Below are 16000 nucleotides of genomic sequence, written 5' to 3'. Positions count from 1 at the left end.
GTTTAGGTTTAATGATATCTGTTTTAGGTGGTACCTAACCATCTCTTGGCATAAAAAATCTGCTCAATGATTGCTTGTTAAATCTTGAATGACTGAATTGTAATAAGCATGCAGATGACTCAGCATTGACTCACCTAAAGGTAATGTCTACAGTCTTTACACAATCTTCTACACCTCCAGTGATGTAGAACTCAGCCTTGACTTGTCTGCTCATTTCAAATCCTTTCTCAAACTCTCAGTACAAGAAGACACTATTGCTTCCTTCTCCAAACAAAACCTGCTTTCTCTTACTTCTAGCCCTTTGTCCATGTACTTCCCTATTCCTAGAATGAATGCAACCTTTGTTTGTCTGCCTGGTAAATACCTATTAATCTCTCATATTACAGTTTAAACATTTCTCCCCCTGTGAAGCATTCCTGGCTCTCTCCCTTCACTCATTAATTCACTCAACAATTACTGTGGTAGGCTAAATAATGGTCCCCAAGAATCATCAGTTCCTAATATCCAGAAGTTGTGAATATGTTGCTTTACATGGTCAAAAGGACTTTGCAAATGTGACTGAGTTAAGGATCTTGAGATGAGGGGAAAGAGAGACAGAGTAAGAGTAAGACAGAAGGTGATGTGAAGACAGAAGCAGAGAGATTTGAAGATGCTACACTACTGGGTTTGAAGGCAGAGAAAGAGAAAGGAATGCAGCTCTGGTAGCTGGAAAATGCAAGAAAGTAGATTCTCCTCTGGAGCCTCCAGAAGGAACCAACTCTGCTGACATCTTGGTTTTTGCCCTGTAAGACTCATGTAGGACTTCTGATACCCAGAACTATCAGATAATACATTTGTGTTGTTTAAAGTACTAACTTTGGGAGGCCAAGGAGGGCAGATCACCTGAGTTCAGGAGTTCGAGACTGGCCTGGCCAACATGGTGAAACCCTGTCTCTACTAAAAATACAAAAATTAACTGGGTGTGGTGGCGCATGCCTGTAATCCCAACTACTCGGGAGGTTGAGGTAGGAGAATCACTTGAACCAGGAGGTGGAGGTTGCAGTGAACTGAGATTGCACCACTCACTCCAGCCTGGGCAACAGAGGAAGACTCCATCTCAAAAAAAAAAAAAAAAATGAAAAAGCCACTAAGTTTATGGTCATTTGTTACAGCAGCAATAGGGAGCTAATACACCCATGTAACCACTATTTACTAGACACAAAGCTAGGCACCAGAGGCATAGGCAAACCAGAAACACATGATCTCCACCTTAAAAGAGCTTATAATCTGATGGGGAATATGAATATTAAACAACTAAACAGAAATTAATATTTTCATGATATTAATGTACTTAGATTGATGGTAATTTAGATTGATGGGGATAAGAAAAGTCTGCTTGGTGACATTACATTTAAGCAGGGACTTGACAGATGAACAGGGCTTAGTGATGTGAAGAATGGGGGAGGAGGGGTTCTCAGGAGCACGTGCTAATGCCCTTTAGCAGGATAGTGCTTGAGGTGAGGCAATGTGAGAAGAGGCTGGAGAAGTGGGCAAGATCCAAATCATGACCGACCTTATTGTCTACATTACAGAGGACAGATTTTATCTAAAGTATGATGGGGAAGACATTGAAATGGCAAATGATGTGTCATAGCTAACATTTTAAAAGATGATTTTGACTTCTCTGTAGGGACTAGATTGAAATGGGTGACTATAGCAAAGGGAAGACCAATAGGAGACTATACAAGAAATGATGTGGTATGGAGAGGGAGAGGTTTGGGTAGAGTCAACATTTAATTTCAAGGCAGTGCTCATAGGACTGGAGAACATGAATGTCTGGATAAAATGTTAAGGACATTTACCAAGTTTCTAATATGACCATGTGGACAGATGTTTTGTATATTTTCCTGAAATGAGGACCCCTGAAGGAATGCATAGGCTGGGGGCAGTGGAGATCAAATGTTTGGTTTTCAAATTGTTAAATCTGAGGTGCCTGTGGAACAACCAAGTAAAGATGTCAGGTAATAGTTAAGCATGTAGGTTTGGAGATCCAAAAAGATGTCTCAGATGGCACTTAAAGTCATAGGGGTCATAGGGGTCATAGGGGTGGACTATAATTTCTAAAGTCGTAGAAATTGCCTAGGAAGAAAAGATACTCAAGGCTGAACCTGGAAAACTCTGACATTTAGGACTCAAGGAAGGGGAGAGGTGATAGCAAAGGGGATTGAGAGGGAATGCTCAGAGAAGTGGAGAAAACCTGGAATCAGTGAAGTCCAGGGAAGAGTATAGAAGAGGGTGAGAGTGTTGAATGGCAATAAGAGGTAAAGAGGTGAGAACTGCAGAGTGTTCCAAACTTGAGCAATGATGGCACTTATAGGCAACCTTAGCAAGAGCAAATGTGGTTGGGTCATAGGAGCCAGAATGAGGAACGAAAGTATTACAAGAAAGTGGAACATTGTGCAGGTGACTTTCTTTTTTACGAAGTTTAGAATAAAAGAGGACAGACAATCAGGTGGTAGCAGATAAGGAATGTACAATCAGATAAGGGTTCTTCTTTAATAGGTGATGGAATTGCAGAGTTAAGCACAGAGGAGAAAGGAAGAGGCTGGAGTTCCAGGAGAGAAGGGGGATAGCCTGTGGGACAAGGCTCCTAGGATGGCTGGAAGGAGTGGGATCTCTCCCCTGAGAAGGGATTCGTCTTTGCTAGAAAGAGAACACTTCCCTCTGAAGGAGAGGGTACAGATGCTGGCAGGTTTGTTCTCTAGGCGGCAGGACAATGAGGATGAGAGTTCCATTCCGATGACCTCTATCTTCATCATGAAGGTCATCTCCTGAAAGTGAGTTGAAACTGAAGAAGGACAATCTTAGATCTGGGGAAAGAGGGGAAGTCACTGACTAGTCATAGTGGAGCAGGAAGTGAGCAGAACAGGCCATTATCTCTGTGATGCCCCACTTTACCTTAAACAGGGACCCACCCTAGCACTGTGATACCGGTGGAGCCATTGTTTGTGTGAACCTCTTTTCTTTACTAGACTATGAGCACCTTGAAGACAGAGATTTTGCCTTTCTCATCTTGCAATTTCAATATTGTTACTGGTATATAGTAAAGATAGTTATTCATTCAGTCACTCATTCATTCATCCAACATTTAATTATTTAATGTTGGATTTAATTATTTATTAAATTAAATGTCGAACAAATGAGTGAGTGACTAAATGAAGAACTATTATAAAACAGGACTGGTATGAAAATGTCTGATTGGTCATATCCCACATATTTCTACATTGCCGGCATTCTGAGAAATAACAAAACCCCTGGAGAGTTTGCCATCAATGGGCAATGACTTTTCCAAGGACTGCAAGAAGAACATACATTCAGTGAAGCTAGGTGAATGTGGGTCAGTGAAGTGGTTATAAGTAAGGCTTCTTTCTTCAAACAGATATATTCTAAAAAAAAAAAACTTTGGAGAAAGCAGAATATTCTAGTTATTTCCTGCCATTTTTCCCTGGCAGAGCCAGAGCCTAGTCCTAGGGATAAAAGAAACTTCTATTAAAAATAGAGAACATTATCACCTACAATCTCATATCTTATTTTTGCAAGTTTCAGTCTTTTCTATATATATACATTTTTTATAGTAAGCATGTTATTTAAAAAACTATGTATGGTGCTTTTTTCCACTTAAAATTATATCACATGAAAGTCATAGTAATCAACACAATGTGGTATTAATTAAAGGATAGACACATAGATTAATGGAACAGAAAGAGAGTACAGAAATAGACCCAGACAATGGCCAATTGATTTCAACGAAGGCACCAAGGCAATGTGATGGAAAAAAAATGATAGTCTTTTCAAAAAATAGTGCTGAAATAGTTGAACAACCATATGCAATTAAAGAGAACTTCAACCATACCTCACACCATATGCAAAAATTCACTTGAAATGGATGATAAGCCTAAATTTAAAATCTAAAATTATAAAACTAGATAAAGCAGAAAATCTTTTTGACTTTGGATAGGCAAAGGTTTCTCAGGACACAAAAAGCATGAAATGTAAAAGAAAAAATGATAAATTGGGCTTCATCAAAATTAAAAGCATCCACTCTTTAAAAGACACCATTAGGAAAATGAAAAGAAAATTCACAGACTGGGAGAAAATATTTGCAAAACTGAGAATTCTTTAAGAATTATGAATGCAAGTCCTTTATCATAAAGTCTTGATAAAGGATTTGCATCCAGAAAACTTGAATTCTCATAATCATTCAGAAACCTTGAATAATCTCATAATTCAATAATAAGAAAACAGACAGCCCAATTCAAGACATGGGCAAAAGGATAGATGTGATAGATGTGGTGGCTCACGCCTGTAATCCCAGTGTTTTGGGAGGCTGAAGTGGGAGAATTGCTTGAGGCCAGTAGTTTGAGACCAGCCCTGGGCAACATAGTAAGACCCCATCTTTACAAAAAATAAAAAAATTAGCTGGACATGGTGGTGTGCACCTGTGGTTCTAGTTACTCAGAAGGCTGAAGTCAGGGGATCATTTGAGCCCAGGAGCTCGAGGTTGCAATGAGCTATGACTGTACCACTGCAACCCATCCTGGGTGACAGGACAAGATACTCTCTCTAAATAAATAAATAAGCAAAACAAAACAACAAAAAAAAACTGACTAAAATATCTGAACAGGCACTTCATCAAAGGTGAATTATGAATAGCAAATAAGCATATGAAAAGATGCTCAATGTTATTAGTCATCAAGAAAATGCAAATTAAAACCACAATGACATACAGCTACCTAGCAAATTTTTAAAAAGAGAAAAGCAACTGACGATACCAAATGCTGGTGAGGGTGCAGAGCAATTGGAGCTCACATGCATTGCTGGTGGGAATCCAAAATGGTATAACTACTTTGGAAAATAGTTTGACAGGGATCATGAAAAGTTAAACATAAACTTATCACAGGACCTAGCAATCCCAATTCTAAATAGATAGTTACCCAAGAGAAATGAAGGTATATGTCTACATAAAAAGCTGTTCACAAATGTTTATAGTAGCTTTATTCATAATAGTAAAAATATAGGAACTGTTTATTGGTAAATGGATAAACAAATACACATTGGAATACTCCTCAAGTTTCTTGGAAGATTCTTGGAAGAATCTTTTTTTTTTTTTTTTTTTTTTTGAGACAGAGTCTCACTCTGTCACCCAGGCTGGAGTGCAATGGCACAGTCTTGGCTTTCTGCAACCTCCAACTCCTGGGTTCAAGCGATTCTCCTGCCTCAGCCTCCCGAGTAGCTGGGATTACAGGTGCACAGCACCATGCCTGGCTAAATTTTGTATTCTTAGTAGAGATGGGGTTCCACCATGTTGGCCAGGCTGGTTTCGAACTCCTAACCTCAGGTGATCCACCCCCCTCAGTCTCCCAAAGTGCTGCGATTACAAGCGTGAGCCACGGTGCCTGGCCAGAAGAATCATTTTTTGAAGGACCTGCACTGACCCGTTCAGAACTGGCCTGACATTTCATCAACTGTGAGTTGCCATTGGAACATGTGGGAGCCCTGAAAGCAGGGTGATGATAAACCTCATACTCAGTGCAGGCTTCAGCCCTGTCATTTCCCATTCCTCCCTTCCATTTGACTTGCTTCATTCCTCATCTGACTTGGTGCTCCCTCAGTTGTTCCTGCTGTCCCCCATGGTTTGGCTTTAGGTCTCCTGTGTCACGGCCAGACAGCCAAGGACATTTCCACAGAAAGGGCATTTGCTGTGAGGCCTAGCTCCCCCACTAGTTAGCCCAGTGTTTTATATCATCCAGAGCCAGAAGGAGAAACAAACTTGAGACTTGAGGGCAGGACCTTGTCTTAATGCCCCTTGCAGTGACCAATCATCTGCAAGCGCAGAGGCTAATATATAGTAGGTTCCCAATACACGTTTGCTTTGTGTGCCGATTCAGTTTCTTTTTAAGATGTTAAATTCAGCTCTTAGTGAGTGGAATTAAAGTGTAAGCAATGCAAACTGAAAATGCTGTAGCAGGAGACATGCTTAAATCGTTGGAAGAGAAATAACCTTGAGGTACTTAATTTAAGGATATTGGCTATGTAATATATTTTTGTTCATTCGTATATTTAGCAAATATTGATTGAATACCAACTATGTTGTAGATTCTATGCCAAATTATTTAGGTCAAAGGGATCTATACCCAAGAAAAAAATATATATTATTAATTAAAAGTTTCAAAGATATATATTGGTCTTCACATATTTTGCTTCCCAGTGAATTTTTTTCTCTTCCTTTTTTTTTTCATAGTAAGAAAATAGATGTTATATACAGGTGTCCTGGAATGGTGACTGGCAACTGTCTTTGTTGTCCCAGCATACATCATTTCAGTGAGTAGTGAAGAATGAAGTAACAGAATTCAAAGAGTTAGGGGAACATGTGTAGTTCTACACCATCTATCTACTCCCTTCTCTTCCACTGTGACTATCAGCTGTTTTAAAATCTGTTTCGTCCAAAGGGAAGAGTTTTCCCATGTTTATTTCCTCTTTCTTAATTGGAAAGACACAATTGTTTTTGCTACTTCAAGTTTTCATTAAACAATAACTATTTTCAGAATATTAAACATACACAATTAAATTTTCTCTATTAGTCTGTTATTATCTGTAGTTTCTTTCTTTCTTCCCTCCCTCTCTCCCTCCTCCTCCCACCTCTTTCTTTCCATACTTCTTTATTCTTGTGTTTTGATGATTTTGATTTTTGTTAAATTAGTTTTGGGTATTGCCATTGGTTTCATAAATTATTGGTAGGAAGAAACAGAAATAAAACATCTAATAATATTTGGAGACTGACTTATATATAGACAATTGAGTCATGTTCATTTTTATTGATGCTAAGTGGTGACTTCAAATCATTTGGGAGAAAACTTTTAATAAATAATTTAAATAAACATTTTCACTTGAAAAAATAGTAGACAATGTAACATAGAAACAAACTTTGTACATCCCCATTATAAGTATCCCTCTAACTTTCTGGTGTCCACAAGCAAACACACTCTAATATATTACAACTATACTAATGGTGGTTGTGAAGGGCACATGGGGAGAAGGGGGATGAAGGGAATGTTCCACATTGAGCCTAAGTGGTATTTTTCTTGTTGTCGTTTTTATTCTTCTTTTCTTTTTGACAAGGTCTTGCTCTGTCACCAAGGCTGGAGTACAGTGGCACAATCATGGCTCATTGCAGCCTCAAACTCCAGGGCCCAAGTGATCCTCCCATCTCAGTTTCCTGAGTAGCTACAGGTGTGGCCCCTACATCTGGCTAATTTTTGTATTTTTCTTTCATAGAGACAGGGTCTCCTGATGTTGGTCAGGCTGGTTTCAAACTCCTGGTCTCAAGTGATCCTCCTGCATCAGCCTCCCAAAGTGTCGGGATTACAGGCATGAGCAACCATGCCTGGTCTAAGTGCTATTCATTGCTGGGATTCTGGGTGGCACTCCTGTCTGCTGCAGGGATTAGAGGACAGTGGGTATTCTGAGGATCCCTAAATCAGGAATATACAATCAGTGAAGCCGTACACTTTCAATTAGCAGAATCTAGCCTTTTAGTGGCCATCTGCTGCCATCAGGCATTGCCTTGAGGAGCCACATCCCCCAAGCCCTACTCATGGTGATTATTATTCGTCAAACAGAATAGATTTATTCCTATGGATAGGGAGAAGGCTTTCTCCTTCTAGGAAAAGAAGATGATCTCCATATGGTAATGTATATGACATGCGGAATAGCTCTTCACTTCTGAGAAGAAAGTATGGCCAGAAGCACTCCTCCGTAATGTACAGAGCGTGGGCTCCTGCTGACCTCTGAGCATACTACTGACACTCTGTGAGTAGCTTTGGATAGATGTGTGCTTGCTTTCTAGGAAATGAGTTTATAACTTCCATTAAATTTTCAAAGATGCTTATGACCCCACAAATAGTAACCAGTGTTTTATATTTGGTCTTTGATTGACCTCATCACTGCTTATAACTTCATTTGATATCTACATGATGATTATCTCAAATATATTTTTCCAACCCTTTACTCTCTAGAAATAAAATTTATGGATAATATAACCATTCTATACACACTTTTGAAAAATTATGCTTAATGCCTTAATGGCAATATAAAGGAAAAATCTGAAAATAATTTATAATTAAACTGTATATATTTCTTTTTTTAATCTTTTAAAAAAAATTTTATAGAGATGGGGTCTTGCTATGTTGCCCAGGCTGTGCTGGGATTACAAGTGTGAGCCACTGTGCCCAGTCAAATCTGAGTGTATTTTTTTTCTTTCTTTTTTTTTTTTGAGACGGACTTTTGCTCTTGTTGCCCAGGCTGGAGTGCAATGGCACGATCTCGGCTCACCGCAGCCTCTGCCTGCTGGGTTCAAACAATTCTACTGCCTCAGCCTCCTCAGTAGCTAGGATTACAGGCATGCACCACCATGCCTGGCTAATTTTGTGTTTTCAGTAGAGATGGGGTTTCTCCATGTTGGTCAGGCTGGTCTCGAACTCCTGACCTGAGGTGATCTGCCCACCTCGGCTTCCCAAAGTGCTGGGATTACAGGCATGAGCCACCGCTCCCGGCCAACTGAGTGTATTTTTATTGCAAATGCTTGCATGTGACTACACAAGAAGACATAATAAAGTAGTCAGAGGCTCCTGTCGAATTGCACTGTGAGTGACAGCTACGTATACAGCTGAGCATCTGTGTATCATTGGCAGCTCAAATACCACGAGAAGCATTGTTATTGACATCAAGATTTTCCAGAATGGAGACCACTCTTGGTAAAGTTCTAGACAAAATGAGGTTCTCTGATTTACAAGGAAGTTTCATTCCTGAAAATTCTAATATACAAAAACCATATCAAAACAAATGAAACCACCACTACCACCACCACCACCACAACAAATTTTGTGTTCCATGTACAAAAACAAAACAAAACAAAACAAAAAACAGGAGTTAGGTTGTCAGCTCAGCTCATTATAAACAGCAATGTCACCCACATGAATCCTGCTGGGATAAGAAATGATTCTTCATTGTGTGGGATTGTTCCTTGCATTCAGGATGTCCAGCATCCTTGGTCCCTGTCTGCTGAATACCAGGTCACCTTCCCACCCATCTCACAACAACCAAAAACATTCCCACAAATGTCCAAAATGCTCTCAAAGAGGTGGTGTCACCTCCATTGAGACCACTGACCTGCTGGGTAAAGTTCAGACTCCAGAGCTTTGCACAGAAATCCTTCAGGATCTGGCTTCTGCTTCCCTCTCCATTCTCATCTTGAAGCATACACGCGCCCTCTGGCCATTCAGACCATGAGAGTTTCCCTGACTGGGTGCACCTCTCCTGTCCCTGTGCCTGGGAACAGCTCTCTCCCAGTTTAACTTATTCATGATCACCTCCTCCCCAGTCACTCCTCAGCTCAGCTCATCCAGGATGGATTAGCACTCCCTCCCCACGCCCACTCTTCTTGCTTAACTCTTTACAACCCTCGCAAACTGTATAGTAAGAGACGGTGTTCTTGTCAATTTCTTCCCAGCTCTACTCCCACACTGTGATCTTCTTAAGGGTAGGAGAAAGAGCTCCTGTGTCTTTGTACTCTGATGTGGTCCCCCTGAGTGTTCAGTTAATGGCTGCTGATGTTGATGTGCTTACGGAGAAGACCTGGCCTTCTCTCCGTGCCGGGCTCTGTCCTGCCCCCAGGTCTTCTACATGCTCTTCCTTTTTCACTGGTCCTGTTCCCTTAGCTCCGTCACATCCTACTCTTTCTTCAGGTCTCAGCTTAACTGTCACTTATCCAGGAGTGTTTTCCTTGTCCCCCTCCCCCAGCTGTCTCCACAATCCTATTATTCGTCATTAATGTACCCTGTACTTCCCTTAATACTGGAGATGATCTCCAGGTCCTTGGAAAGAACAGGGACAGCAGAGGAAACCTAGACTGAGAACCAGGCTCCTCCTTCTGTTTAGTGGATCTTGTAAGCCAGAGGTTCCTCCATCATCCCTAAATGACTAATAATGACTTCTCTCTAACCTTAGACATTGAGGCTCTTGAGCTTAATTTATCTTGATTTGGAAATATAAAGAAATGTGACCCTCTTGCTGGTTACATTTCTTAGTCTGACACTAGTGTGTAAGAGATGCTCAACACAGAAGTTGAATCAAAACTTCTGACACACACAAGGGCAGTTAGACTTTTTTGTATGACCCAGAAAATAATACAGGCACTCAAATAACATAATAACCAATACTTGCTTATTATCCTGTGGAATTCTCTGTGCTCTATAAAAACATTAGCAAGGGGAATGGACTCCACAGTGTTAAGGTAATTAAATAGAAAGGTAAGCATTTTATTGTTGAAAAAAGTGATTAGTTAAAATTATATACAAAGACATGTAGGTTATTATTTTACTAAATGAAAAAAGAAATTCTGCCACTCTACTCTCAAGATTTGTCTACCTGGCGGCTGATTTACCTGCCTAGAGGGTGAGCCATCTCCATTCCTCAAACTTGGAGGTAACTTCTTTGAGGACCTCATCATGCTGATCCTTTGAACTATTCGAGGATTTTTGGGCTTTCTCTGAGTTTCTGTCTCTTCTATCCTGTTGTTTGTTTGTTTGTTTTTGTTTTTGTTTTTTTAAAGACAGTCTTACTCTATCGCCCTGGCTGGAGTGCAGTGGTGCGATCTCGGCTCACTGCAATCTCCGCCTCCTGGGTTCAAGTGATTCTCCTGCTTCAGCCTCCCGAGTAGCTGGGATTACAGATTCCCGCCACCATGTCCAGCTAATTTTTGTATTTTCAGTAGAGATGGGGTATCACCATGTTGGCCAGGCTTGTCTCGAATTCCTGACCTCAAGTGATCTGCCCACCTTGGCCTCCCAAAGTGTTGGGATTACAGGAGTGAGCCATCATGCCTGGCCTCTTCTATCCTTTTTAAAATAACACGTTCAATGGTTTGTCATTCAATAGTCAGTCCCATATGTACCCAAAGCTCTGCAATTCCAGAAGAAAATTTCACAAATGATAAAATGCATTAATTCTGGCCAGGCATGGTGGCTCACATTTGTAATCCTAGCACTTTGGGAGCCCTAGGCAGGCGGTGAAACCCCATATCTACTAAGAATACAAAAAATTAGCTGGGCGTGGTGCAGGTGCCTATAATCGCAGCTACTCGGGAGGCTGAGGCAGGAGAATCGCTTGAACCCAGAGGATGGAGGTTGCAGTGAGCCGAGATTGGGCCACTTCACTCCAGCCTGGCAAACGAGCAAAACTCCATCTCAAAAAAATAGCATTAATTCTAAAATCTCTTTAGCAGCCTAAAGTCAGTTGTTACTAATACTTTTTTCTAATTATATTTTTTAAAATCCTCTTTAAGACGAAGCAGCATGCCTTACTAATAATATACTTGAATTTTATCTTCCTGCATACATCATGTCCCATAGCCCAGGTGAGTTTTTCTGAGTTTTTAATCTCAGTACAATTCATGTTGTTTTTCTTATTACCATTGCTATTATCAATTATAAATATTTCTTATATATAAACAAAGTATCACTGACAAAGCATAAAATTAGGTACTAGTTCTTGCTGGTCAATTTGAAACAGAAACTGCTTGCACTATACATATGTCATTAGCCATCCCAAAATGTTCACTCATGAGATACAGGAAAATAATAATCACTAATGCATATGCTTTAGAAGATGACTAAATCCTTAATAATCTGGAAGTGCTCTAATTTACTGATTAGGAAGCTAATGTGGTTTTTCACACAGTTTTGAGTTGACTTGAATAAGATAATTTTAAATATCAATTATTTCCCCTGCACAGAAATAAAACATGTCTTACAAATGTGTATTCAATCTACATGTGAATATTGGTAAACCATAAGTGATTTAGATAATACATTCTATTTATGGATTAATGAATACCACCCTAATTGACAATACTTACATTTAAAAATATAATTTAGTAATAAAGAAAAATTGTGAGAAATAAGATTGCTTAGAATAACAGTAGAATCCCAGAAAGAATTTTCTGAGTTCCTACTCTAAACTCCTATTTGCATGGCATATAAATACATTTTTATACATGTATGTATGTATATATATAACAACAAAAACCTAGATATGTAACTGCTTTGCCTAAACAACATTTTCATGATTGACTATTGCTAACACATAATTTTAAAACAGTGCTCTATATGTCTTTTGATTTCAACACATATTATTCATTTCCTAAGGATACATGAAAAAGGAGAAACAACCCTTAATACAATCATTAAGCACAATAGAGTGAGAAACAAAGAAATCAGGAAAAAGTGAGAACAATATTTCTACAAGTACAAGAAATGGGGGGAAAGTGTTAGGACTCAAAGCCACCAAACGGTGTATTCCAATTTTCAATATACATATGTGATTTGCAAAGCCACATCTCCTGCCTGTGTTCTTCTTTGTATTGACTCATTCCAACACACACTGCTACTAATACATTTTGTCACTCACGTAGTTTCTATGGCCTGCTGACCACGAACACAGAGTGGCCAGTCTGTTGGCATCACTCTGGAGTGGCTGTGTAAAGGAGCTCATGCTCCACTGGGATGCCTTCTAGAAGGTCCATTTCCAGCTCTCAGTGTCTTTTATACATGCCCAGAAGTCACATGAAGACTTCTAGCTCCTCTATATCTCCCTGGCTCTCGATGTACAGTGGGAAGTGAAGATGATAACTGATGAATTTGGGACATGGCTGATCTTTGGATGAGGGTCTTTGAATCAATCAATTCTCCCTTTAGCTTGTGTGATAAGGTCTATTGATGTACATTCTGTATCAATTGCCATACAAGAAACTTGAGATCCTCCAGTTAAGACTGTTGGTCTTGGCTTGGTGCAGTGGCTCTTGCCTGTAATCCCAGCAGGTTGGGAGGCCAAGGCAGGAGGATTGCTTGAGCCCAGGAATTCAAGACTAGCCTGGGCAACATAGTGTGATCTGATCTCTACAAAAATTAAAAAAATAAAAATAAAAAAAATAGCCTGATGTGGTGGCATGTGGCATGTGCCATGTGCCTGGGAGGCTGATGTGAGAAGATTGCTTAAGCCCAGGAGTTTAAGGCTGCAGTGAGCCGTGATTGAGCCATTGCACTTGAGCTGGAGCGATGGGCAACACAGTGAGATCTTGTCTCAAAAAATAAATGAATGAATAAATAAAGATTGTTGGTCTTCTTGCCAATCTTTTCATTGCCCTGTTGGGGCAACCCTGTCTCTCTCAGTAGTAGCCCTTTGATAGGCATCCTATATTTTTGTTTCTTTTTTATTACTGTAAATCAAGTGGTTTCAGCTGTAACTTATTTGTTCATGTCCAATACTCCTTCCAGCTTAATTTTATAATTTTGGACTAATTTACAAAAAACCTAGCATGCTAAGGTTTAAGAAAACAGCATAGCATGGAGTAAATGTAAGCGTATGCAATGAAATCCATGGCAAAGTTATCCCGGAGTGTCCTTAGTGATGGGCTGCTCTCCTGTCTAAGCCTAGCCCAGGCAGAGATGTGGGCTGCAGTGGTGTTGGTGGTGGTGGTGCTGGTGGTGCTTGTGAGAGGGTGTGTGTGTGAATGTGACTTGCCATCCAGTCTTGGAAATGGGGATGTGAAATGTGGGTTCCCACATCTTCATTATTCTGTGGGCACTATCTCCTTAGATTGGGGCCAGATAAAATGGGAACCAACTAATTGGAGGATTTCTGAAAACACTGCTACTGTTCTAGAAGCTGTATCCCAGCAATACTTAAACCAGAGTGGATTATTGCCATCAGGTGTCGCCAATCTCATTTAGGACCAGATCGGATTTGGGTCTCAAAACTAGACCCCTCCCAGCTCCTGGTCTGGATCACTTCGTTAAACTGACAATAAAGGAAACACATTTTGGGCCGATGAATTTTTATACTCAGCTAATCATGTTAAGGAGGAGTTTTACTGAATGTGTTCACATGTATTACATTTCTTATTTTAAACACAAATATGATAATGTTATGGTAGAGAGGTGGTAATACATTCTGCAATGCAATACATTGCATCTTATTATTTTCCCCCTCACTAATTTGTCTTGGAGAGCTTTCCATAGCAATATACGTGGATCAATGTAATGATCCACATGTATTTTAATGGCTGCCTTGTATCGCATTACATAAATGTAGCATAATTTACTTGACTCACCCAATGAAAGATGTTCCACACCTGCTCCCACCAGCTTTGTGGTTGTTTTTGCTGTTATTACAAATAGTGTTGTAATAAGCATTCTTGAATATATATCTTTGCGACATTTGAAAGTATATCTGTAGAAAAAATGCTAGAAGTAGGTTAAAGATTAGTAGTCAATGGAGAGAACAGGATTCACTACAGAGGGATGAGATTTGCAGCCACAGGAGTTGACAGGAAGGGACTCTAGCCTTAAGAAGCATTCTAGATAAAGCACAGGAAAGGAAAATGGCTTTAATTAGTGTGCATTTAGCTGAACTGAATAAATTAGAAATGTTGAGAGAAGTGAGAGGAAGACCAGAAGTTATGGTATTGTCGAAATTATCTTTGTGTTTTTCACATATGAAGAGTAGAAAATATCTTTCTGGCGGGGGGATAAAGAAAATTACTGAGATACCCATCAACAGGGGTTTGGTTAAACCAGCTGTGGCATAGTCATGCAGGAGAGTACTATTCAGCTGTTAAAAATGAATCTACTCACAGTGTATTGAGTGGAAAGGGGAGGTTATAGAACATTATGAATAGTGTAACACTGGGAGAGAGAGTTAGTTCCCTACCAAGTAGCCATTCTAGTCTTCTCCCTCAAGTTAGGGGGACCTTATTTTTAGGTGGGCACAATGTAACCCACCAGTAAGATGACATTTCCCTCCTCCTTTGCAAAGATGGGACCATATAACTAAATTCTGGCAATAAAGTATAATCAGAAGTTTCCTTGAAAAGGAGAGAATTATGCCCCTTTCCCTCTCCTCCAATCTGCTCCTTGGAATGTGGATGTAATGGCAGAAGCCCTGTCATTTTTCCCTGGTGAGAGATAAGATTTATCTTGTTCAAGTCATAATTTGAGAGTTTCTGTTATGTACAGCCCAATGTAATCCTAACTCATATAAACTCCACTTGTGTTTAAAAGTTAAATATGTACACGTGTATGCACAGACACACACACCTCCCCCCCACAAGGTGTATATGCTTAAAGCATACATGCATAAAATATTTGTAAGTGTATATAACAAACTATTAAGAGTTGGGGGGGTATGAGATTATAAGCAGGAAGTGGGGGGACTTTTTTATATTTTTTAAGTTTTAGCAATAAACATGTTTTCAGGAAAAATTAAGATATTTCTATTTTTATGAAGAAAACAGCTTGACTGATAATTCCTTGAAATCAAAACACTGGGCAAGTCCCTTATTTGTCTCCGTCCTCCTCAGATGAAATGCCCTCATGATCGTGTCGGCTTCCCGCGTATTTTTCAATGTTCCCAAATTATTCTAGGAGGATTGGTTTACCCACACATTCTGAATATTCCAGTTCTCTTTTAAATAGACAGCATCCTGCTTCTAATACAAAAACAGTTTAAGAGAAAGCTGCATTTACTAATGGGATGAATAATTGATTCCAATAGATAAGAACACACATACACAGCTGCTTTGACAATAAAAAGAGGTTTTCTCTAAATAAGACTTCTCGTTATCATCAGCACTCAGTTGTTACCATGGCTACATGTTCATTTAAAAGCCAATCACAATAAGAAAATATGATCCAGTTCTCCAGATAACTGGAGTGGGTTAAAGCAAGACTTGGAGAGGAAGCTGCTTGGAGGCCCTGGAAGTCCAGGGACTTCTGGTCTGAGAATTACAATGCCTGGTCCGTGCTAGTCTCTCCTAATTGTGTTCAATTTCATGGGTAACACAAATAAATAGACATATGGAATATGGAAGTAAGGGACAGGAGGATTGGCACCCCAAGAGAAACCA

Source organism: Homo sapiens, chromosome 9 (genome assembly GCF_000001405.40).
Source record: "Homo sapiens chromosome 9, GRCh38.p14 Primary Assembly".
NCBI classification, from domain to species: domain Eukaryota; kingdom Metazoa; phylum Chordata; class Mammalia; order Primates; family Hominidae; genus Homo; species Homo sapiens.
The sequence above is the reverse complement of the archived record's forward strand: the minus strand, read 5'-3'. Positions refer to the sequence as shown.